We start from the raw sequence: 26991 nt of genomic DNA on the forward strand, positions 1-26991 counted from the left end.
TGAGAATTAACTGCTCTAAAACTGCATATGCAGAACAGACTTCACTGCATTGTCACCTAAACCCATTTCCCCATCACGCAGGATCTTATTTGGCAGCATGGACATTCAACTACTCTCTTCCTGATTCTCACTCAGATTCATCACCCATCCAACCTGGTATCATTTTTGTAAAATTTAACTCTAAAATAGTTCAAGTCTTGGGTCCCTTTTAAGTCTTCAACTATTCTTCTCTTGTTCACTGCCTCTAGTTCCTTTCCCTACTTTCAGTTTATTCCCCTAGAATCCATGCTTCACACAGGAAACAGGGTGATTTATTTTAAAATCCATTTTATTTACTCCTCAACGTTCCTCATCAGCCTCAGAGGGAAAGTCAAGGCTACTTTGTACCACATGAAGCAGCCACTCATGGTCTGTCCAGTGACATCTTTTGGCATCCTCGGCCTCATGTTTTATGTGTCAGGATCACCAAACCACCATTTATATCCTGCACAAAGCTTAGTGCTTTTTGTCTTTTCTGCTGGGTGTGTCATACACATATACATATATACATGCACTCACACACACATATGTACATATGCACAAACACACCTTTTTATCTGTCTTATTCTTAGAATGTTCATTGCAACATCATTTGTCAGACCAAAAAATTAGAAACAACTAGAATATTTTTCAATGTCAGAAAAGATAAATAAAAGTGGTAGATTCATATCTTAGAATACTTTTATATAAAAATTAAAATCAATGCATTAGCCCATAGTTATCACTATGAATACACCCCAAAAAGCAAAATGCTGAGTGTAGAAGCAATATGTAGAAACTTAAGTACAGTCTGATACCATTTATAGATTATATCAAAAACACACAGAGCTATATCACATATATCTATATCACATATTGATTAGGGCTATAAGTGTATGGTGCAATATGTAAATATATGAATGGAAAGTGATAACACCAAATCCATTATAAAGGTAAATTCTGACGAAGGATGGAGAAAATATTTTAAAGAGATCAAAAGGGACTTTAAATAAACATATAATATATCCATTAAAAATACAAAGCAAATATGACAATAATGTTTATATCTGCTCAACCCGGATGGTGAATATGTCAGCTTTAAAAGCCTAAATTTCTTCAGTAATTTTTAACTTTTTAAAACAAAAATAGACGTTCTCTTCGATTTCCCTAAACTAGGGTAGTTAACACTTCTATTGACTAAATAACAGTAGTTAATATCTCTATCCCTACATTTATCAGATTGAATTTCATGTACCTATTTATTTTGTTCCCTGTGTTGTGTGCTCCTTGAAAGACAGTTTATTGTTCATATTTGCTGCCCTAAAGATTAGTAAAGAACCCAGCAACAATATGTTTGTTGAATGAATGAATGAAGCAAAGTTAAAAGATGATGAGTCTCACCAGGTATTTTATTTCAGCATTTCTTTGTAAAATGGAATCCCTGTTGAAGTGAAACTTTAATGTTTTGTTTTAATAAAGAAAATTCCATTTAGGAGGAGCTGTTGTTTCTGGATTTTAGACATGAAATCAGTCATTTACATTTGAGGCAGACATTCTACCTGTGTTCTGGGAATATTGCCTGAATGGTCTATAGTTACAGGAATGCACATATGTGTACACAATTGCCCCCAGAGAAAATGTGACTTGGGAGTTATGAATGAGGAAGAGCCAGTTGTGAATAAAAAATGTATATTTTTACAAACCCAGAATCATGATTCTGGTTAGAATTCTACAAACTTTCATCCATACCCCTGATACATAGAGCTTAAAGATTACATACCCTGTAAGCTCTATGTATCTTAGGGGAAGAGTTCCTTTGTATATAAAGCATTTCTATATAAAGAGGAAGAGTCAATTTTTATATAAAGCAGAGACCACATAGGAAGAAAAAAATCAATGGCTTAGTGCCTTTTATATTCATACAAAATAGAATTCACACGTTGGAATTGATTGAAAAAGATTTGACATTGTCTACAGGTGGGGAAGAGTAATGATGCCACTAAGAAATGATCACTGTGAAGAAAGAAGAGATAAAACTTGTGGATTAGAAACTGCATATACTGTTGGATGGTCAAAAGGCAGTTTTAGACTGCCTTGCAGCCCCAGACCTGCTTTAACACTCAGTGAGTGTGTACCACCTTGCCATTAAAGAGCTACAACATTGACCGCCTAAGCCTACTTTCTTGCTTTGGTGTGGATCTGGGGTGAGGTGCCCCACAATGGAGCCAAAAGCTTTAGTGAATAGTCCTTGCATCAAATGACTTTCTTTCCCTGGTTTGTCAGTAGCCTCAGGTCTCCACCTGAGCTAAGAATCCAGACCAAGTGACAGGTGTACCCAGTCAACACTGTATACATTGGCTAGGTTTGGAGGCACAGTGGGGATGTGGGAGAAGAAGGGAGAAGTTGGGGGAAGGTGGGGGTGGAGCACATTTTACTTTCTTTCCTAGGTCACTAGGCAGCAGTAGAAGAACAAAGAAAATTTTGAGGTCTTTGTAAGTAAAAGATTTTGTTAGAAGATTGGATCTGAAAATTTTTATAATTTGAATAATAATATAATACAATATTATTTTGTGCCCTCAACTGGTAAAGAAGGATTGATGACACTGGAACTGAGTTTTATGGAATTATTCCTCACTTGGCCTTTCTTGTTTGGATAGAAATTTTCTATGGAGCTGGTATACTCCTAGCTAGAGCAGAGGAAGCGCTGTTGCCCCTCTCAGAAAACTTAAACGGAAAATTGGTTAAGAACTAGATGGAGGAAGCTTAGGTATATGGGTTAGGCCTCTTTGTCTTGGAAATATTTCACTTCCTAGATATGGTTCTCTATTTATTCATTTTTCTTTGCCTCCTGACATCTCAATAGTATGTTAAGAGCATAGACTGTAGAGCCAGACTATCTGGATTACAATTCCAGTTCCCCACTTGCGAGTTGTGTGATATTGGGTAAAAGGCTTAAGCTTTCATTGCTTCACTTTTTGTATTCTCAAAATGGGGAAAATAAAGATACCTACCTCGTAAGCTTTTTGTGCGAATTATGTGCAAGTCAGGTACATAGTCAGCACTAAGTAAACATCTGTTAATAAATAAACGATTGCTATTTAAAGCGCTGATCCATTAACTTTGTACCAAACTTTGTAGAAAAATCTACAAAGCTATTTTGAAATCCATGATACTTGGGTTCAATCCCAAAACTGCTGAGTTAGAATCCCTGGCTAAAAACAGATATTCTAAATGCTCCTCATGCAATTCTGTGATATACCAAGTCTCATAACAACCCTACAAAGTCAATATTAATCTTGTTTCATAGAAGACACTGAGACTCATAAAATTTACTCATTTTTCCAAGAGTACACATCAAATGAGAGAGGAGAGTATTAGGATCTAAGAATTTCTGATTCAGAATTTCTTACTTCTTCCAACTTATCATATAAAACCAGATGAAACCATGGAGAGAGGGGTTCACAGAATGAAAGGAGCAAGTATAAAAGAGAGGTGGGCACAAGAGAAAGAGGCAGAAAGGGGGACAAGATGAAGTGTGGCTGGATAATATGATACAGAGCTGATAAACAAGGAGGATTTTCCTTTCAAGTAACAGAAGAAATTGGTGGTGATGGAAATGGAGCAGTTCAAAGTGACATTGACAAAAACAAATATCTTCTCCTTCAATATTTTGCCTCAAGCTCACCCTGATGCTCTCGGTTAATAATTCTTTAGCCTTATGTTCTCACTCATAGGTGGGAATTGAACAATGAGAACACATGGACACAGGAAGGGGAACATCACACACCAGGGACTGTTCTGGGGTAGGGGGAGGGGGGAGGGATAGCATTAGGAGATACACCTAATGCTAAATGACGAGTTAATGGGTGCAGCACACCAACATGGCACATGTATACATATGTAACAAACATGCACGTTGTGCACATGTACCCTAAAACTTAAAGTATAATAATAATAAAATTAAAAATAATAATAATTCTTCAGCCTTGTGCTCATGCATTAGTATTACTTATAAGTGTGATTACCTGATGGCTTCTTTTCCTTGGAATTCAGGAGCTACTGGTTCAAAATAATCATCAGAGGGATGCTCAGCATCGATTTCTTTCTCAATAACCTTAGCATTAGTCCTTTGGTGTTGGAAACAAGATGATGAATTCAAGAAAAATAAAGGAGAATAATGGCGCTCATCTCCATCTAATTAACCAAGAGGCAACAAAATATGATCAGTAATAGTAAAAGAATGCGCAAAGAAGCCTTGCTAACAACAATGCAGAATGCCTTGAAGTTTTAAGCATCATAGAGACATTTTTTCTTCTAAAACTCAATTTATTATTAAGAAGAAAACTTGATGATGAAGTAAACAATGGGAATTCAAAGGAAATAACATATTGCAAAATTAAACAATATAATACAGCTTTCAACAAAGTATAAATAGAATGTGATCAAAAAAAAGAAAGTCAATAGGAAAGTGAGGTTCGAATAAAATATTAGGTGTATGACCAGCTGAGTTGGACTCCAGCTTTTCCCTGATCAAGACATTAGTACAGATCTTAGAGCCTCTGTTGTCTACATCTGTAGAAAAGGACACCCAACAAGGAAACCATTATATGTCCTTTTTTTCCAGTCTTAACAATGGGTTGCATTATCCTTAATAGGCTCATGAAAAACAGATTTGTATCACCCAATAAACATATTTATTAAATTTTTTTAAAATGTGATCTAAAAGGTATTTAGGAGAATGAATGAAACCAAATATTTGGGAAGACACAAAGCCTTAATACAGTGCATAAAAATAATTGTAGACATGTTTGTCAACTTAAATAATTTGACCACAGCAACATAATTGAACATAATATTGAAATCTATATATTCCTGCTTAGGCATGAATACATGGAGAAACTGTATTTGTTTAGAATAAATTTATAGTGATATTTTAAATATATTTTTCCAGTTTAAAAAACAAAGTTGAATTTATTATTAAGGGCCTTCACATATCAACCAGAAGTCACAGAAAGACAGGAATATATACAAGTAAATACATAGAAAACCTATAAGACAACCTTAAATAGTGGAAGGAACATATAAAATAAGAGGATAAACAAGAAGATTGTGCCAGAAAAAAAGCTTTCTGATTCTAGAATGTGTGAAAAAATTCTGGGCTTACGTGACATTTTTGGTTGTTTGCAAGATAATTTAACTGGGCGATCAATATACTTCTGTAAATATGAACAATATATAAAACATTTTGAGAATGATGCTGAACAAATATTCATGAGAAAGCTCTTCCACAGTATAATGGCCTCCCGAGAGCCAAACCACCATAAGAACTAATTTCTTTTATCTTGTTTTGACATAAATCCTAATATGACCCTTTCAAAACACTTTCAGGGATCCATGAAAACCTAACATTATTTAATTACCACACAATTACAAGATGTATTATAATTATTGTTGTCATATAATTATAATATATTGCTATAGTAAAGTCATAAGAAGAATTGTTTTTACATAAAAATTTCATTAGACCATTAGAACTATGAAGTAGAAATAATGAACTTATTAGTTTGAAATGGGAAATATTTAATATTCATTTTAAAAGTCTATATAATCTTAAAAAATATATTCAATGTAATTAATAACTGTAGAGGACAGAGAAAAACTCACTATTACTTACAGGGTAAAATTTTGTCAAAGTATAATGCCAATAGCAAGTAGATGAGACCATCCAAAAGCAACATAGAAAAAGTTGCTATCATTGTATATGAGTCTCCTGAAGGGTCAGGAAAAATTACACCATTCAAGTTATAATCCAGTTTGATAATCTAAGATTCAAAAAATAAAAATAAATGTTTAAAATAAATAAATAAATAGCTTGGCATAGCAGGAAAAAGTATTAATTTATTAACTAGCTTTTTCAAGAGGCACTTAGTAGTTACTAGTCAAATATATAAATAAGTAAATAAAGGTATTGGTCAAAATATTTCTATTTTACAATGAAAAATAATTAGAAAGAAATATTTATTTAATAAATACAATGTTCTAAGTATAATAATTTAAATTATAATTCATTTGTTTGTTTTCAGAAAATCATTGCAGTATTACAAATATCTATTCTGGGCAACAAAGGAGATATAAATTTTGGAAAGAATATAAGAAATTCTTGGACGCCTTTAATTAGATAAAAAGAGAACTTACCTCCTTTTCTAGTTATTATTTCAAATAAAAGTTTGTATTTAGAATTTTGCCACATAATAACAGCGACTATGTTCTAGGCACTGTCCTAAGTGTTTTGTATATTATCCCATTTAATCTTCCTTAAAACCCTATCAGATAAGCAATAAGGCTTATAAAAATAATAAGATTTTAATCTGCACTTTACATATGATAAAACTAAGGCACAGCGAAGTTGAGTAGCCAAAAGTGGCGAAGTGAAATTAGAACAAAGAAAGTCTTACTCTTAGGGCCAGTTCCTTACCCTGCACACTCTACAGCTTCTCAGTCTATGTTAAAATGTTAACATTTTCATGATAAAGTTGAATTTATTCTAGGAATCCAAAATTGAGTCAACATTTGAAAATCAATCAATGTAATTCAACATCAAACATTAAATAGGAAAATAATGTGATCAATATAATAGACACAGAAAAACCATTTGGTAAAATGTAATATCTATTCATAGTAAAGAAAATATCTTCATAAACTAAGATGAATCTTCCTTAATCTGGTGAATTACATGCACTGAGACCAACAATAAGCATCATACTTAATGGCACAATGTAGAAAGCTTTTATTTTGCCTGCATTTCTATTCATTATTGTACTAGAGGTCCGGACCTGTGCAGGAAAGTAGGAAAAAGAAATAAAAAGCATAAGGATTGCGATGGGAAAAATATAAGCCATCATTATTTGAAGACAACATGATTATATATGTATAAAACCCAGAAAAATATTGGGTTTAGTAAGAGAATATAGCAAGAATGCTGGATAGAACGCCAATGTACAGAAATCAGTTGCATCTCTCTACATTAACAACAAATGTTTAAAAATAAGAATTTAAACATAGATGCTATTTATAACAGCATGAAAAATATCAAAAGCATCAGAATGAATCAAATAAAAATGTGTAAGACCTCTACAGTGAAAACTAAAACAGGCCAAGTGCATGGATCACACCTGTAATCCCAGCACTTTGATAGGCTGAGTTGGGAGGATCGCTTTTTTGAGCCCAGGAGGTTGAGATTAGCTTGAGTGACATGGTGAGACCAACTCTCTACAACAATTAAAAATTAGCCAGGTGTGGTGGTGTATGTCTATAGTCCTAGTTACTTGCGAGGCCGAGGCGGGAAGATCACTTAAGCCCAGGAGGTTGAGGCTGCAGTGAGCTGTGTTTGTATACTCCAGCCTGTGTGACAGGGCAAGACCCTGTCTCAAAATAAAATAAAAATAAAAAAAGATAATTATTAAAGAAAATCAAAGATCACTGAAATGAATGCAAAGATATATTATGTTCATGGCTGAAAAAAAGATGACTATTTTCTTCGAACTGATCGAATAATTCAACTGCATCACACTCTTAATGGCTTTGCACAGGCACATAAGTGTGTGATTATGTAACTTGATAAGCTAATTCTAAAATTTACATAATTGCAAAGAAATTAGAATAGACAAGACTCTATTGAAAAAGAGATTAAAGAGGTAAAACTGTTACTGCCAGATATCAAGACATATGATAAAGCAAAACAATTAAGACAATGAGGCCACAGTGCAAGGATAGGCATTTTGGCCAATACATGATTGGCTGAGTTACGATAAAAGAAAGATTGCAATTCATTCAAGGAAAGGATAGTCTAGTTGATAAATTGAGCTGGAGAAATTGGATATTTGTGTAGCAAAATTAATATTGCCTCTACCTATACACACACAAAAGTTACACTGAAGTGGATTTTTATCTTAATGTAAAAGCTGAACCAGTCAATATTCTAGAAAAACAGCCAGAAAATATCTTTGTAAACTTGGTGTAGGCAATGATTCCTTACATTGATTTTTACAAAAAGCATTCTACATAAAAGAGAAACTTGAAAAATTGGACCTTATCAAAATTATGTATCTCTGTTCATCACAGTTACCATTAAGAGAGGAAAAAAGCCAGCAACAAATAATGGAAAAATGTCGGATGTTCAACATGTATAAGGAATTATCATAAAGCAATTGGGAGAAGATAGAAAACTCAGAGGAAAAATGGGCCAAAGAACTGGATAGGTAATTTATAAAAAAGAAAATTCGTAATCCACTAAGCATATACAAAGGCATTAAACGTCATCAATAATCGGGGAAATGCAAATTAACACTACAATGATATATCATTGCATAACCATCAGAATAACTAAAATTTGAAAGATTGACAATACTAAATCCTGGTGAAGTGTTAGAAAAACTGGAATTCTGAAACACTGTTGATGTAAAACTAAATTGATGCAACCACTTTGGGAAAATATTTGGTGGTAGCTACTAAGATTAATATTTGTATACTCTCAGCCCCACTATTCTGTTTGTTATATTAACGTAATGAACAGAATGAAATGTCCATATTCAGTAGGAAATGTGTACTAGAATGTTTGTAGCAGCTTTATTAAAAATGCTCAAAAACTAAAAATTATCATAATCTATTGATAAGAAAATTGATAGTATGTTAACACAATAGGATGCTACATAACTCTACACTATAGCTACACAGAAACTATGCTGCCACCTAAAAACGTCATGTTGAATGAAAAAAGAGATTTTCAAAAATACACTTTGTGCAACATCACTCCTATGAAGTTTAAAACATGCAAAACCAAAAATTTTCTTTAGGAACACATACTTAAGTGGTAATGAAAAGCAAATAAGTGAATATCATAAAATTTTTACCTTTACGAAGGAGGAGTGTTCTGAGGGGTTTGTGACTGGTGGCAACATCCTATTCCTTGATCTAGTTCATAGATACTTTAATTTACTTTATAATTATCTGTTAAACTATACTTGTGTTTGGAAAGTTTTTCATATTCATAGTTTATACAATAAAAGTGGGTTCATATATAACAATTTTAATAAACTAGCAGATATTTTCATTATGTTAAATGAATAGTAATAAAAGTAAATATTTGTATATAGGAAAAAAACCTAGAAGAAAATACTTCAAAATGAAAATATATCTGAGCGGTAAAATCTGAAGGATTTTTTTAAATTTAAGTTTCTTTGTGAGGTGACTTTTTTTTTTACAATGTAATAATAACATTTTAAAGCTTAACTTTAGAAAAATTGTTTAGAATAAAAGCTCTTAGTTTGAGTAGTGCTGATCCTACAGCGTATGAAGTATCTACTTCTTTTGAAATTTCAGTAATAAACCAATTAACTAGGCTCTTACCTGAATCATTCCAGTAGTAAAGGCAAAAGGGCTACAAATATTCAAAATCCACTCCAGAGATGAAGGAAGTTGTTCATAAAATACAGTGAATCCCAGACATCCCCAAAAGAGGGTAAGGAGAAACACAACCAAATTGGTGAGGACAGCTTTCTTTAACAGCACACTCATCAGGAACACCAAAGCTACCTGCAAGAGAGAGAAGACATTCAGCTGTTATAAAAAATATTTAGCTCACTGAGAATCATTGGCAGCCCAATCAAATAAGGATTTTTATATCATAACATAAATATTTATCAGTGAGAAAGTGGTGAAAATATTAAGGTATAATGAGTCTGTTCTTTCCTCAACTTCTCTTGAAAAAGGATCCTTGTTTGTCCTACTCAAATGCCAGGCTTTTGTTGCTAGGAAAGGGTGGGGGAAAAGCTGGAATGAGAGCTGAGGATAGGGTAGAAATGCAGACTTGGGTCTAAATTAATGTAATGAAGCTAAATTAATGTAAGAAGGAGCATCTACATACTTTCTGCAGAAAACAACCTGGAAGATGGAAATTAGAGGTTCTTGTTCAGAGAAGGCAGAGCGGAGTGAAACGAGAAGTAAGTATGAGACAGAATATTAGAGGGAGAAGAGATATTGTGATCAGCTACCATGTGATGAGCACCCTTAAGGGAAAAAAAATTGGGTCCACCCCTCAAAAATAACCTCAATAATTATACAGAAAAGACTTTGATATTTTAGAGTCAGCATTGTTTTTTCTTTTTGATACATCATTTCATTAGTTCAGACCTTTATGCAAAAGGCAAGTCAAATTTTATTTGGATTACATAACTTTTTCACTCCATAGAAACTATTTCAAGTACACACAAGGACACACACATGCACACACACAATGGACATGAAAGTAGTGATTGCAGTAACCTACTAGGGCATTAATATTAGCTACATATAGCTAAGATCTAAAGCAGAGAAAGTGGTAATAAATGTATCAACTTACCAAAGATAAGCCATATAAAAAAAAGAGTATAAATATGACCATGAAGCCAGTCATGACTATAATTTGGGTGAATGTTATGATAATTGTAACGAATATGGAAATAATAAAGATGAAGCCAGCATAGATTAGACCCCAGGAGAGCCTAAATAAAGACAAAAAGTTATATAAATTATGTTAACTTATTTACAAAATATTTAATATATACAAAAGCATCTAAAGAACAATGTAATGACTACCCTTGTACCTTCTAGATTAATAACTATACTGTTAATCCTACAGCAGAAGCTCATTGCATATCCTTTTTCAATCGCAATTCTCCTTCTTTATAATTGCCATTCATCTTCGTTACCTTTACCATATATGCATACAGAGATGATAGATGCTGAACACTGGTATAGGCACCAACCAATAGAAAGGATGCCAAGGCCAGGCACGGTGGCTCATGCCTGTAATTTCAGCACTTTGGGAGGCTGAGGTGGGCAGATCATTTGAGGTCAAGAGTTCCAGACCAGCCCGACCAACATGGTGAAACCCGTCTCTACTAAAAATGCAAAAAAATTAGCCAGGCATGGTGGTGCATGCCTGTAGTCCCAGCTACTCGGGAGGCTGAGGCAGAAAAATCGCTTGAACCTAGAAGGCAGAGGTTTCAGTGAGCTGTGATCATGCCACTGCGCTCCAGTCTGGGTGACAGAGCGAGACTCCATCTCAAAAAAAAAAAAAGGATGCCAAAATTAATTAAGTGACTGTAAGCACAGCTGGGCCATTGTGCCTCGTTGGTACCTACGTGTTAGGCAACAGCTCTGTGTGCATGTATTGTGTAAATAGTATGACTATTGTATTAAACAGTATCAATAATATCATATGTATGTATTATTCTGCAAGATGTCTTTATCAATCAACAATATTATACACTGCTGTATAATATTTCATTATGAGAATATGACCCAAAATTCTGCTGCCCATGGAAATTTAGGTTGTTTTCCATTTTTTTCTATTACAATGCCAAGAACATTCTCGTACTTGTCTTTTTTGAGAAAAATGTACAAGAGTGTTTCTAAGCATTTTGTAACTTCAGCTTTGTTAGATATTGCCATACCGTCCTAATTGTAGAATTGGAAGCAACTTAAAAGCCTCTGATCAATCAAGTAACTCTATAAACACTGGGGCAGTTGATAATTTGACTATCCATGGGGATCTCAGCAGGCAGCACCTCCAGTCTCTTTCGTAGTAGAAAATTGAAATTTCACAACTCTACTAAGCCCATTCTATTCTCTCTAATCCTATTCATGATTTCTTCACTTACATTTGTATAAAGTATGCTGCACCCTTAAATATTTGCACGATTTTGCTTTAGAGGTGCTAGTGTTGATATTTTTATGAAGTGGTTATTAAGAAAGAGTATTCAATCTTAGATCTAACAAGACTATAGAGTGTTTTAGCCCACGTGTCTCATTTTACAAATAAGGAAACTGCAATCCCTATTATTTGTTAAGGGGTTTATCCACGGTCACAGAATAAATCGGTAACAAAGTTCATGAAGTTGCAGGCCTTATCTCTGTCCAGAGATAAGTTCATCTACTTAACACTGACTAATTAAATGAGAATTCAATAGCTGAAGCATATAGCACAAGTATTAAAACCAGGACTTTGCATCAATATGTCCCAGTAGAACATGTTCACACCAGATTTACTGGTTATTTGACTTCTTTTTAAATTTCATGCCATTACAATAATTAAGCCTGTGTTAGAAACATCAGCACTTTTAAAAAACATATCACATTCTGTAGAACCTACTTCCTGAATTCAGAAGGGAACTACTTTAGGTAGGAATTGAAAAAACACAGGATATGAAAATTACAAATGAAAGAAATTACCTAGAAATTGCCACTACTTAGAAAAAGGAACCACTTGCAGGGGTGGAGTGGAAAGTCAGATGTTAATAAGTGTATAAAAACTATCTTGCTAAAAAACAAAGCAATTCAGACACTATACTTAAAGAATAAATACTGATTAAATTTCACATTTATTACATTGGTAAAAAAATTGTCATAAAGTTTATTTCCACTAGATAGCCTGCACTTAGTAGAAACATTTCAGAATCTTTTTTCTTCTTAGTTTTAAGGACGTATATATGAATTTATTTTGCTAAGTTTTTAGGTCACATACATACTAAGAATCACTTATCCTGAGAATGAATTCACACCCAAATGTTCCATACCTTTCTGACTTTAATATAGAGTTGACTCATGCCTCCCTGGTCTCAGGTGACTGCAGGGACACTGTCCCATAGGACATGCCCTGGACAGAAAGAAGGCCCCTTTTACAGGGGTTCCCTCCTAACAGACTCCATGGGAGGCTCTAAGTCCATTCTTTTGTATTTCCCAAAGTTCCACTGCAAAAACTTCTTCTCTCTTTTTTATTTGAAGACACAGGTTCCTCTTTTTCTATCTTACAATTTATGTATATTAGAATTAAGATTCTCTCCATTAATAAAATATATTTTATAGAAAATTAAAAATTTACTGTACCATAGTTTTATTTCAGGTAACACGTGGCTCCCAAGGAATTGTTCAATACATAATTTCTCATCCATTCCAGGTAGTTCCAAAACCATAAAGAGTATTTGCTTGATATGGGGCATAGATAGAAAAACATCTCCCAGGATTTAATATAACAAATGTTATATTTCTTTTGGGGTATTATTTTTCCTTTTTTACTTTTTCTAGACAGACAGTATGGATTTTGTCATTGATAGTATTGCAAAAGCCTTTTGGAAGCTTGGAGCTTGTATGATTTGCATTCCTATCTGCTAATCTTACTTACTGATTATTTGCTAGGTGTTTTGTTTTTGTTTTTGTTTGTTTGGTTTTGTTTGTATGTTTGTTTGTTTTTATGGAGTCTCACTCTGTCGCCCAGGCTGGAGTGCAGTAGCACGATCTCAGTTCGCTGCAGCCTCTGCCTCCCAGGTTCCAGCAATTCTCCTGCTTCAGCTCCCAGGTAGCTGGGATTACAGGCACGCGCCACCACACCTGGCTAATTTTTGTATTTGTAGTAGAGATGGGGTTTCACCATGTTGGTCATGCTGGTCTCGAACTCCCGACCTCAGGTGATCCACCCGCCTGGGCCTTCCAAAGTGCTAAGATTACAGGTGTGAGCCAGTGTGCCTGGCCTATTTGCTAGGTCTTTATTTCTACTCCTAATTATTTGTCTTTATTATGACACAAATACATATCTATCTACCTACATACATATATACATACATGAGTGTGTGTGTACATATATGTGTGTATGTATGTGTACACATGCTCATGTATGCATACATATGTAATGTATGTAAATATGTATACATAGCACATATGTATGTGTACACGCACTCATGATTTCAAAATCACTTTAAATTGAATGTGGAGTGGGGGGCAAGATATAAATATCAATATATATAGCAAATGCCCTTGCTAAGGTCTTCTTACATGCCAGCCTTTGTGTTGTATGTCCTAGGAATATTATGTGGGCTCTCTCATTTTATTCCAACATATAGTATTTACTTGCTCCAAAAAATCTATGCCTTGTGGCCAAACCCCTGAACACAAGTCAACTTTTACAGGATTATACTCTCTTCAACATGAGAAAGTCTGGAGAAATCAACTGTTAACTGTAAGAAGACCAGGCGAGAAAACAAGCTGCAGTCAGGGCACCTGGGTTAGAGTCTCAGCTCCGGCACTCACCCTCCATCTCACATTGGGCAATTCTCTTATTCTCTTTGAACTTCATTTTCCTTGCTTATAAAATGAATGACAGTCCCCCTGTATCAGTGTTGGCTTAAGACATTCACGGCACAGAAAAAGTGCTCAGCACATTATAAGCACTATTTTGCATGGCAAAATTTAACAGACTAAGTAAAAAACTCAGAACAAAAGAAAAAGTAGCCAATGCATCAAGTTTAAACCATGATGCTCTGAAACAATAACACTTTTTCACTGCTTCTTAATTTTCCTGTTTATTAATTTGCACTACTTGAATTAGTCACTCACCAGAATGCTGAATCTTGGAGACCCATCATTTTCATCAAATTCTTAGACTTTTTTCTCTCTTTTGTTACATTGAGTGATATAAAATATACAAGTGGGGAGAAATGAAGCAAGAAGAATAAAATAAACATCTCATTGTGAAGAAGATTTTTAGTTATGAAAGGTAATGTCTTCATAGTTATAGCAGTAACTGACATCAACTCCTCCATCACAGGGTGATTGGTTGTGATCTAAAGTAGAGTTTAAACAAACATAATTATTATTTAAAAGATAGAAACTGGTGAACTATGAGTAAGCTCTGTGTATTTTACTTATGTCGGTTCTCCAATTTTTCTTACTGTACTGTAGTTATGCAAGATGTTCCCAGTAAAGGCAACTGGATGAAGGGTACATGGACTTCTCTGTACATTACATTTGCAGCCTCCTGTGTCTTTACAACCACTTCAAAATTAGTTTTACAACCAATAAAATTGGTTTTAAAGTTTTAAAATAGATATGCAATGTGTTCCTTGGTCTGAATATCTGCTTCATTATATAACCACAGGAAAATCTGATTATATATCATTGCTACGGTTTGAAAGTGGCCCCTCCTAAATTCTTGTTGCAACTTAATTCCCATTGTGATGGTATTAGGAGGGAGAGCCTTTGGGGTAGTGGTTGGGTCATGAGGGTGGAGCCCTCATGAATGGATTAGTGCCTTGTAAAAGGCTAGAGGGAACTAGCTGAGGCAGTTTTTGCTCTCCATTCTTTCATCACGTGAGGACACTTAGACGGTGCTATCTATGAGGAATGGACCTTTACCAGTCTTTGAGCCTGCCAACACCTTGATCTTGCACTTCTCAGCCTCCAGAAATAAATTTCTGTCCTTTACAAATTACCCAATCTCAAGTATTTTGTTGTAGCAGTACAAACGGACTAAGACAATTATCTTTCATCAAAAATCTTGAGGTCTCTGGAAGTAGCTGACATTAATTAGTAGAACTTTTCAATCAAGCACTTACTTCTATAATGGCAGTATTAATAGCTGTTTGTAAAGCCACAAATCCTCTATTCCAGTATTTGGTCAATGTACATGAAAACTCACCATATCCATCCCAGCAATGAGCTGTAAGCACAAAGAAAAGCACAGCCAACATTATGGGACGAGGGCAGTTGGAGAATATGAAACAAGTATTGAAAAGAAAACAATCTAGAGGAGACTCTACCAGTAAACTTTTTTGGTGGTGGTGTTTCGTTTTTGTTGTGGTTGTCTTTTTTTTTTTGGAGATGAAGTCTCACTCTGTTGCCCAGGCTGGAGTGCAGTGGTGCGATCTCAGCTCACTGCAACCTCCACCTCCTGGGTTCAAGTGATTCTCCTACCTCAGCCTCCCAAAGCTGGGATTATAGGCACAGGCCACGTTGTCTAGCTAATTTTTGTATTTTTAGTAGAGACAGGCTTTCACCATGTTGGCCAGGCTGGTCTCGAACTCCTGACCTCAGGTGATCCGTGCACCTCGGCCTCTCAAAGTGCTGGGATTACAGGTGTGAGCCACCATGGCTGGCCCACCAGTAGACTTTTAACTACATAGAAAAAGGAAGCAAATAAATGAAAGTTTTTAATAAAGCAATTTTATTCTTGCAGACCACAGCATGCTTAGAAAGTCTTAGAAAATAAAAAGGAGATGAAAGCAAACACTCTGCTCCAGCCATAATGGACTCCTTGTTTCTTGACATTCTCCATAGCCTCTTGGCAATCTATTCCCCGGGCTATATCTGGAGTGTTCCCCTAATTTTGGAAACCGAATTACACTTTTGCCGTGATTAAAGTGACTCAGTGGCTATTCCTTGCCTAGGTTTACAAGATGCCACAGGAGGTAGCACTTGAGTGACTTCAGCTTCACTCTCCCATTACATTCCTTTTCATGTTCCTTGTTCAGCTATACTGCTCTTCTTCCAGATCTAGGAACAGATGTCCTTTCTCACCTCAGGGTCTTCACAATTACCTTTCTTCTATCTGAAACACAATGCTTCTAGCACCTCACACCTGCTATTCATTCTGGTCTCCCTTTAAACATCATTTCCCCAGGTAGGACTTCTCTAATCCCACTATTAGGAACCCCTGGTCTAAGTGCCCATGAAACACTTTTTCTTGTACTTGTCATTAATTGTTCAATGTCTGTCTTTGCTGCTAACCTGGAATCTCACCTGAGGCTGGGGCCTGTCAGTCTTGGTTACTCATGTGTCCTTTGACACATGCATCTGCATGCTCAACACATATATGTTGGATGACTCTACAATTTTTGCAGTCATCCTGTAGTAGGAACATACGATTGACCTTGAAATAAGTTCAGCAATGAAATGGGCTTTCCCTGTTTTCTCATGTGTCATTGAAAGCATCTCTGTTGCCCAACCTCCTCTGTTCTTTATGTTGAAAACATGAAAAATTCCATAATGATATTTGATATGGAAAGTCACCTGAGAAATCTTCTTTCCAAAGTGGACTGTTATATCCCTGGAAAAATATTAACTTATAAGAGAAAGTTTCATTAAAGATGATTCCCATAGCATATGGTAAATTTTCCAGAAGTATTTCGTCCATGTGTGTTTTATTTGGTGCCCCAATGACACTTGTTCCTGTGAATTACAAGGTAAAAATAGACATAGAAAATTGTAAGAGTTTTGCCACAACATAATGTGATATTCAACTGTTTCCCCATATAATTTCATTAGACTTAAATTAAAATCATTTTCCATTTAAATCAATTTTAACCCAAATGCAAGGGGGGAAATTTAATGGTTTAGATTCTACAGTCAGAAGACATGCATAAGAATTACATGTTTTATTTTCATAATGACAAGTATCAGGGCAAGTTTTAGGTACATAAAGAAAAAATTGTGCCAAATTAAGTATGCATAAGAGAATGAGAGTACAAAAACAGAATTAATTGTTGTAGTTACTATACAGTCAGGGATTCCTTATTTCAGATTTACTGAAGCAAAGACAATTTATATGACCTTTGCCTTCTGCAGAAAACAAGATTTTTTAAAAGTGACTCTATTTTCAATAGCCAGGAATTTCACTTGTCAGGAATGGAGGATTAAAGAGTAAATAGCCAAATTGCACCCAATTTGCCCATGAATGAAATATGCATTTTGCTTATTTTGGTTACATCATAATGATCTCATTTAGAATAAAGACTTTTAAAGATGTTTACTGATTGTACTATATTCAGAACAGAATAATCATCAGATTATTCATTTCTGCTTTTCAAAGTTATGAAATTATTGTTCAATAACCATGACCTATTTTATTTATTTAGATGTTTTTTTCCTGAGATACAAATCTTAATCATTGTATGCCATGTTAAAAACACACACAATTTTCAATTACTATATTCCTTCTAGATACTATCCTGCAAATCTAAAAGTATAAATCTGGGTTTAGTTATATTCCAGTAGAAATATGGACCTCCCTAAACTGGACTCCCAACAAGCTGAAAATATTTCAAAGGCTAGTTGTTGTGAGAGAAAGCAATAATCTAACCAGATTTGTATGCTATTTTAGTACTTAAGTTATTAGCATAATATATGACTTTAACTTCAAATTAATGTGTAGACAACTTATCAACAGTATATAGACATCTATCAGTAACTCTTTTTTTGCCATGAGTACACCTACCTTTCAAAAGAGGAGCAAGTGCTGTTTTATTCATTATCTGCTGGGTTAAATTAGATATTGGTGTATACACAACCATTAAAGAAGAGCTATTAAATTTATCTACCCTTCCCAGATTCTGAGGAGCCATTCCAGGAAACTGGACATTTCTCATGGAACTGGAAAACAGAGCAATACACAGTCCTAGAAGTATTGAGAGGCCCCATTCCTGTAATGCATATAAAAAGAAAAATAATGAATTAAGGTTGCATTCACTTAAAGATCTCAGTTAATACAAAATACTGTTGAAAACAAATTCCAATTGTGCTATACAGTTATGTTCTCTCTGCTCTCCAAGCCTCAGAGCATGGAGAATCAAATGAAAGATAAATACTGAGACAGTAGCCACATTTATCATTCTCTAATACTAGAACAAAACTTTTGCATTAAATCATGAACTCCTGCAGAAGCCGTCATAGAAACTAATGGAGTGAATAACAGGATGACAATCTCTATATGCATGGGCAGCTGACTATAGAATTTATAAGACATGGAGTATCCTAGATAGAGTTTATGGTGGCAAATAGCAATATTTTTGCCAGTTGTCATATCCTTGTATTGTAAACTAAAGAAAATGAAAAGGAACTGGCTGGTGGAGGCTACTACTATTGCTGTTCACCAATGTCAATCATCATTACCTCTTTGGCACCATGCTTGACTGCATTCTCAGCCTACTGAAATTAAGTGGAACCGAATGATTTCCTGGACCACAGGATATGGGCAGAAGTGATATGCACTACTTCCAGGCCTCGTTCATGGACATATACAACTTTCTATATTCTCACTGTCCTGGTCCCACTATTTCCTGATCTTTTGACTGAATGCATAGGATCCTCTAGAGGTCTTCAAGGTCCAAGATGGTGGCAGAGGTCCTGGATGAAGCCTAGGTGCCTGAATGATTGTGTGGAGAAGATTTCTTCACCCACCCAACCTACTTTACTTCCACTCTCAACTTTCATTAGACCATGAGGAGTTAAAAATAAGCATTTGCTTGTATCCTCTTTTATTTCATTGAGCAGTGCTTTGTAGTTCTCCTTGAAGAGGTCCTTCACGTCCCTTGTAAGTTGGATTCCTAAGTATTTTATTCTCTTTGAAGCAATTGTGAATGGGAATTCACTCATGATTTGGCTCAGAACATTCCATGCTCATGGGTAGGAAGAATCAATATCGTGAAAATGGCCATACTGCCCAAGGTAATTTATAGATTCAATGCCATCCCCATCAAGCTACCAATGACTTTCTTCACAGAATTGGAAAAAACTACTTTAAAGTTCATACGGAACCAAAAAAGAGCCCGCATCGCCAAGTCAATCCTAAGCCAAAAGAACAAAGCTGGAGGCATCACACTACCTGACTTCAAACTATACTACAAGGCCACAGTAACCAAAACAGCATGGTACTGGTACCAAAACAGAGATATAGATCAATGGAACAGAACAGAGCCCTCAGAAATAACGCCGCATATCTACAACTATCTGATCTTTGACAAACCTGAGAAAAACAAGCAATGGGGAAAGGATTCCCTATTTAATAAATGGTGCTGGGAAAACTGGCTAGCCATGTGTAGAAAGCTGAAACTGGATCCCTTCCTTACACCTTATACAAAAATTAATTCAAGATGGATTAAAGACTTAAACGTTAGACCTAAAACCATAAAAACCCTAGAAGAAAACCTAGGCATTACCATTCAGGACATAAGCAGGGGCAAGGACTTCATGTCTAAAACACCAAAAGCAATGGCAACAAAAGCTAAAATTGACAAATGAGATCTAATTAAACTAAAGAGCTTCTGCACAGCAAAAGAAACTACCATCAGGGTGAACAGGCAACCTACAAAACGGGAGAAAATTTTCCCAACCTACTCATCTGACAAAGGGCCAATATCCAGAATCTACAATGAACTCAAACAAATTTACAAGAAAAAAACAAACAGCCCCATCAAAAAGTGGGCAAAGGATATGAAAAGACACTTCTCAAAAGAAGACATTTATGCAGCCAAAAGACACATGAAAAAATGCTCATCATCACTGGCCATCAGAGAAATGCAAATCAAAACCACAATGAGATACCATCTCACACCAGTTAGAATGGCAATCATTAAAAAGTCAAGAAACAACAGGCGCTGGAGAGGATGTGGAGAAATAGGAACACTTTTACACTGTTGGTGGGAATGTAAACTAGTTCAACCATTGTGGAAGTCAGTGTGGTGATTCCTCAGGGATCTAGAACTAGAAATACCATTTGACCCAGCCATCTCATTACTGGGTATATACCCAAAGGACTACAAATCATGCTGCTATAAAGACACATGCACATGTATGTTTACTGCGGCACTATTCACAATAGCAAACACTTGGAACCAACCCAAATGTCCGACAATGATAGACTGGATTAAGAAAATGTGACACATATACACCATGGAATACTATGCAGCCATAAAAAATGATGAGTTCATGTCCTTTGTAGGGACATGGATGAAATTGGAAATCATCATTCTCAGTAAACTATTGCAAGGACAAAAAACCAAACACCGCATGTTCTCACTCATAGATGGCAATTGAACAATGAGAACACATGGACACAGGAAGGGGAACATCACACTCTGGGGCCTGTTGTGGGATGGGGGGAGGGGGGAGGGATAGCATTAGGAGATATACCTAATGCTAAATGGCGAGTTAATGGGTGCAGCACACCAGCATGGCACATGTATATGTATGTAACTAACCTGCACATTGTGCACATGTACCCTAAAACTTAAAGTATAATAATAATAAAAAAATAAAAAATAAAAAAATAAACATTTGCTGTGTTAAGCCACTGAGATTTGGGCTAGTCATCTGTGATTAGCCCACCTGCTTGATGCAAACTGACTTTCAGTGGTGTTAGTTGATCATAATTCTTAAAAACAATTTTTGTGTAGAAAATTCATGTCCTTGAAAATAAATCCACAAAATTAAAATGTCTCCATTTCTTCTGACAACATTTTTTTTGTACTTCTTGGCTCTAAGTGTATAACATTTGGTAGTAGCTCTAGCAGTTGCTGTAATTTACCATATAATTAAATGTTCACTTAATCTCTTTTTATATGAGGAATTCTTTTAGTCTTTAATAATTTTATGTTATTCTTCAGTCTCTCAATTCAACAAATACAACTAGAGAGAACTGGTAAAATCAATAAATCCCATCTACTAATTAAAAGAGAACATAAGAGAATCAGTAGGTAATGAAACACTGTAAGAGTGCTAACCGTGGAAAGAGACAAATTTTTAAACATACCAATAAGCTCTCTCTTTTCATCCTCCATTTCTTAAGAAAATTCTTGCACAGAAGTGCTTTGGTTTGCTGATACACGCTTTTCTGTTTCATATTCATTTAGCCTATTCGCTGAAGGAGAAAGTAATCATGGTGGAACACAACCTAGAAAAAAATAAGTGTAATAAGAAAAACCTTGATCATAGTGTTGAGGAAAATATTTACTACCTTTAAAAAGTGTAAACATGAATTTAAAATATTATTTCAATAATTTATGACTGTAAAATTTCACCTCAAATATTTCACCTTAAGCTTTTTAGGGGAGTGGGTGATGGTGGGAAGGCAGAGTGATTATTATCACAATTTTGCAATAACTTGGAGTACTGAAATGGAAAAGCTGTAATTCAACTTCAGAACCTATAATTTCACATTTTTGGCCTTGTATGAGAGAACTTTAAGTACATGAATAGAGTGATTAAATTAATTTCATCCTGTTAATAGCCATTTCTTGTTCTTTACATTGAAACAGAAATCTCAGAGCTAATCAAATTAACATCAAAAGTCTGATTACTTAAATTTGTCTGAATAATAAATTACATCCACTAGATACAACCTCAATAAAGTGTTTTCTTGTAATTTTACCTTCAGATTGAATCAACTTTTATGAAAAGAGATAGGTTGTAAATCATAATCCAGGCTCAAACTACTTGAAACTTGATTCTGAGATACAGGAAGAATAAAGCAATTTCTCTCAATTTTCTGAATTCAGAAGTCCCTGAATAACTAATGAAACTACAAAATTAGCTTTAAAAGAAGCAAAAATAAATCACACGGGAAAGTAATTTTGCCCAAAGATTTGCAAATCAAGAAACACAATTTTTTTCGTTTCTGTAACCTCAAAATGAAATTCTTTCATATTTTTACATCAAAATATTCAGATAATTCTCCCTCAGCTAGCACAGAAGCAAATTTTTTCCATTTTTCTATGTCTTACTGTTACAATCTACACAATAAAAAGTGGTTGGGAAAAAGCAGAAAAATTTAGTCTTAGGTCTTTAACATAAAACACATAAGAATTGGGAAACATCTGAAAAATAGATTGATTTTAGCAGTGTCCACCCACATATTTGGCACAGCACAACAAAATAGAGCTTTACTTACTGTCAGGAAAATAATAAAAAGCACTCTAGAAACACTGTCAAAACCAGTTCTCTGTTTGTCTAGGTAACGATTACAACTTCTTTATTGCTGCTTCTTCATTTTTTCTTTAAATGGGTGCCTACTCCAGCAGCTCTTACACAGCCTGGTTTCTGAAAAGGGGTGTAGCCAGACCAAGCTGTACATGATGAACTTGTTTTGTTTTCTGTGTCTCTTTCTCCCTAAGCCAATTATTCTGCAAGGAAATGACTGTTCCGTGGTTGGTTGGGAATAAAATAAACTCTGTGTTTGTTCACTTAGCCTTTCAACTACAGGGATAAGGGGGAAAACGGTAAACAAGGAAAATGGAACTAGTTCTTCAGAAATGATGAGACCAAGATGGAGGCAGGAACAAGAAAGAGTAAAAACAATAACTAACCAAACAAAGCAGTTAAATTTGTATAAGAAATCTGTATCTATTTTCTTTTCACTACTGATGAATAAACACAACTGCCAGTTAGTTGTATATTTAACTAATTCAGACTAAGTTAGCAGAGTATTCTGGAGCTGATTTTTTTTCCTAATAAAGCTAAGCAATCCATAGTACGCCTTGGAGAAACTCCTAGGACAGACAAATGAAGAATTTTTAACAAATTTGTTGCTCCCACCCTCTTCACAGTGGATACAGGATTTCATAATACTTATGAACAAAATAAGCCAGTGGTTTGCCCAGGTCTACAAAACATATAAAAAGATTCAGATAAATTTTTGTGCACGAAGACTACAACAAACTGAAACATGTTTAATTCATATAGCATAGTCTGTCTCTCTCTGCTCTGTAAAGAGTTGCAAACTTTTCTTGACCTGCCACAGTGAATGGCAAAACAGGAAATCAAAGTCCATGAATTGGGAAATCTCAAATATTTGACACGGCTCCCAATCCACAGATGTTAATAATCATAAAGCTGAGAAACTTTCTGGAGCAAAGCAGATAATTTAAACAACAATGACAACTACAGCCATGATACTATTATGTGTATATGTGTGTGCCTGTGTGTATATATATAAAATGTATATATATATAATGTATACATATGTGTATATATATAATGTGTGTGTGTGTGTGTGTGTGTGTATATATATATATATAAAATTTCTCTCCTTGGCAATTACTTCTGTTTTTAAAAATAGTCAACAGTGAAATGCCACTTTTTTTACATTGAAAATTGGCACAAACACCGTTAATAAAGGTGTTCTAAAGTTCTCATGGGGTGTGGGAAGGGAGGTCATAAACACTTAACATTTTGTAATAGTAATATAACAAAACTCAAAGTTACTTTTAAACCACCTGGAATACAGTTAAGGCTTTTATGAATTTTTTTGTTGTTATCATTGTTTTAGACCCTTTATACTTTATTTTAGGAATCATTTTCATTCTGCCATTCTTATAATTGTATTAAAATTCACAGCTACAATATCAATGATAATTATTTAGATTAAATATATTTATTAGTTTCATTTCTTACCATTGTTTCTTGTGTATGCTTTCTTTTCCTTTTTCTTGACCTGTTTCCTCTTACTTATTTTCATTTTGGGAGGCTGTTTTCCTTACGTAATGTGACAATTTCCCCACAAATGGTGATCTAATATACTAAAGTGCCCAGCCTCCAGCTAGAAGGGCATGGAAGTGGTGGGTAAAATATATCCCCAAATTGAATTTCCAATATATAGTCAAATTCAAAAAAGGAAGAAAAAAGATGAAGAATGTAAACAACAATGGAAGAAACAAAAAAAGACAGAAAGACATGTTTCCAGGTGTTAAAACTGAAAAGGAATTTAAAGTTTCCCTTAAGTTGTGAGTGGCATTTCAGACACTCCATCAGTTCAAGGATATACTGGACTGAAAACCAAGCCTCAGGTGTTTTAATGACCCTCTGGCCTGAACTTGGTCCTTGAAAGGTTGGTAAGCTGGAGTTCATATTCCTGCAGGAATCCAGAGGGTTTATAGGACTGTCCGGTGCTAAAAACAGACTAGGAAAATTTCACCTACAACCTCAGGGGAGAGCAAAGCTGTATTCTCTGCCCAATTTCTGGAAGACAGACAGACAGATAGTAGATAGATAGATAGATAGATAGATAGATAGATAGATAGATAGATAGATAGATCGCCCATAGAAAATGAAACCACAAAGTATGTAGAGCATGTATCAGGTACAAGAGACAGGAGAAGGATCTGAATTTATTCTCCCAGTATAATAACCTGTCCAGAGATGTATTACAGGAGTTAGTGTAAACACTCTGGAGCCAAACTTGTGTCCAAATTCTGGCTCTGCCATGTACTAGCTGTGTGACCTTGCACAATCCATTTAACTCTCACGCCCTCAGGTTTTTTACCCCCCAAAAGTGGAAAAACAACAGTATTAATATATATATAAGGTTATTGTAGGGGTTAAATTCATCTATGTAAGTACATAGAAAAATGAGGGAAAATTGTAAAAGCTCAAAAAATGTTATTTGCTGTTACTTCCCCTCCTCCTCCTCCTCCTTCCTCCTCTTCCTCCCTCCTCCTCTTACTATCCTGGAGTGTCACAGAGAAAACACAAAAATTCCATAAAGATACATCCAAATTTCAGAACACAAAGCAACAGAGGTAAAAGAAATATTCCTCCCAGAAGATAAACTCATAATCAAAAGTCTAACATGAAAACAAATCAGTAGGACAAACAAATGAGACTATTAGAAAACTTAAGAACTAAGGGGGAAATTATTGTGAGCTAAGCAAGCTCTCTCAAATGTGACTAATACAAAATTCTAAGTAGTAGTATTTTTAAGATCTTCCCTTTTTTTTAATAATTATGTGTGTTTCTTTGGGGAACTTTGCTGATTATCGCACTTGGATTGATCATTCTGTAGTCTAATTTTTCTCATCTGGCCAATGATTTTTTCCCATTAATGACCAATATTAAAGAAGTCTAGATTCATCAGCATGGTGCTTGGACTCTGTTGGCCATTGATTAGGTCAGTAATAATTTCTCCTTCCTTCTTTTTCTCTTTTTTCTTTTCTTTCTTTCCTTTCTTTCTCTTTTCTTTTCTTTCTCCCTCCTCCCTCCTCCCTTCCTTCCTTCCTTCCCTTTCTTCTTTTTCCTTTTTTTTTTTCCTGACAGGCTAACCCCTTTTTTCCTTCCCCTTCATTTCTCTTTGTAAGACAGATACAAGGTTCACCAGAAACAAAAGTCCTCTTCACTTCAGTTACTACCACAGCCTGGAGATGGTTTTGGCTGAGTAGCCAGGGTTCTTGGTAGGACTTTTTTCTTTCTGGGTGACCCCCTAGACTGGTTGCAAGTGAAAAAAACACAACAACAAAATGAAACCACATGGTAGAATGATCATGAGGCTGAGCATTTTCTTCCTTGACTAAACTCTCTGTTCTGTTCAGTGATATTACAGGCTTTCCCTTAGCTGGATCATGATTTCATAAGTCCCCCAGCCAAGGTCGAAGAATGCAATATGGGCTTTCAAATTTCTCTTCACTTTCCACCTTTCCCAATCTAATCACAGATTGGAGCAGTATGTGCTAGCTCCTGGCATCTTTCTTTAGTCTACTAAATAATTATTTGGGATGCTAACAATGTTATAATAAGAGCCTGGGACCTTTCTTAGTTCCATTTTAGCTGTATATTTCTGCCATTTTTTTTTGTTTATAGAAATGGGCACTTCACTTGGCATTACTGCCAACAGTCTCTAATTTCTTCCTCTCTGGGGAAATTTCTGGACAGCTAGGGATGGAATGCATTGGTACAACTCCACACAATGACCCAGACATTCTAGGAATATATTTGAAGTGATTACATAGATAATTGCTGTAATGGTTAATACCCAGTGTCAACTTGATTGGATTGAAAGACACAAAGTACTGATCCTGGGTGTCTCTGTAAGGGTGTTGCCAAAGGAGATTAAAACTTGAGTCAGTGGGCTGGGAAGGGCAGACCCACTCCTAATCTGGGTAGGCACCATCTAATCAGCTGCCAGCTCGGCCAGAATAAAAAGCAGGCAGAAAAACGTGAAAAAGCTAGACTGGCTTAGCCTCACAGCCTACATCTTTCTCCTGTGCTGGATGCTTCCTGCCCTCAAATATGGGACTCCAAGTTTCTTCAGCTTTGGGACTCGGACTGGCTTCCTTGCTCCTCAGCTTGCAGACAGCCTATTGTGGGACCTTGTGATTGTATTAGTTAATATTACTAAATAAACTCCCATATATATATATATCCCAGATATATATATCTCCCATATATATAAACTCCCATATATAATAATATATATGAGTATATACACATATGGAATATACACATATGGAATATACACATATGGAATATATATACATGGAATATATATACATGGAATATATATATACGGAATATATATATACGGAATATAAATACACGGAATATATATACGGAATATATATA

The 26991-nt window shown here is 35.1% G+C and overlaps 1 protein-coding gene across 1 annotated transcript in view, besides 2 other annotated features; it reads right to left on the bottom strand.

Moving 5' to 3' along the window:
- ABCA6 (ATP binding cassette subfamily A member 6) overlaps positions 1-22700 on the bottom strand; it is a 63194-nt gene extending 40494 nt beyond the window's left edge. Inside the window, exons 1-10 of the mRNA NM_080284.3 lie at positions 22550-22700; positions 21413-21553; positions 18101-18305; positions 16897-17055; positions 15444-15547; positions 14446-14672; positions 10415-10556; positions 9424-9609; positions 5693-5840; positions 4044-4212 (exon numbers count right to left, since the gene is read on the bottom strand). Of these exons, the coding sequence (NP_525023.2) occupies positions 4044-4212; positions 5693-5840; positions 9424-9609; positions 10415-10556; positions 14446-14672; positions 15444-15547; positions 16897-17055; positions 18101-18305; positions 21413-21508 (1436 nt within the window). The 5' untranslated portion in view covers positions 21509-21553; positions 22550-22700. The remainder of the gene's footprint in view (positions 1-4043; positions 4213-5692; positions 5841-9423; positions 9610-10414; positions 10557-14445; positions 14673-15443; positions 15548-16896; positions 17056-18100; positions 18306-21412; positions 21554-22549) is intronic.
- Positions 22593-22887: a silencer, noted in NCBI's record as "tiled region #12537; HepG2 Repressive non-DNase unmatched - State 3:PromF". NCBI's record gives its function as "represses a minimal TATA promoter and a strong SV40 promoter by Sharpr-MPRA in HepG2 cells {active_cell/tissue: HepG2}" and the evidence as "EXISTENCE:reporter gene assay evidence [ECO:0000049][PMID:27701403]".
- Positions 25759-25959: a silencer, noted in NCBI's record as "peak2964 fragment used in MPRA reporter construct". NCBI's record gives its function as "represses an SCP1 promoter by STARR-seq MPRAs in K562 erythroleukemia cells {active_cell/tissue: K562}" and the evidence as "EXISTENCE:reporter gene assay evidence [ECO:0000049][PMID:32103011]".

Source organism: Homo sapiens, chromosome 17 (assembly GCF_000001405.40).
Source record: "Homo sapiens chromosome 17, GRCh38.p14 Primary Assembly".
In the NCBI taxonomy this organism is placed as follows: domain Eukaryota; kingdom Metazoa; phylum Chordata; class Mammalia; order Primates; family Hominidae; genus Homo; species Homo sapiens.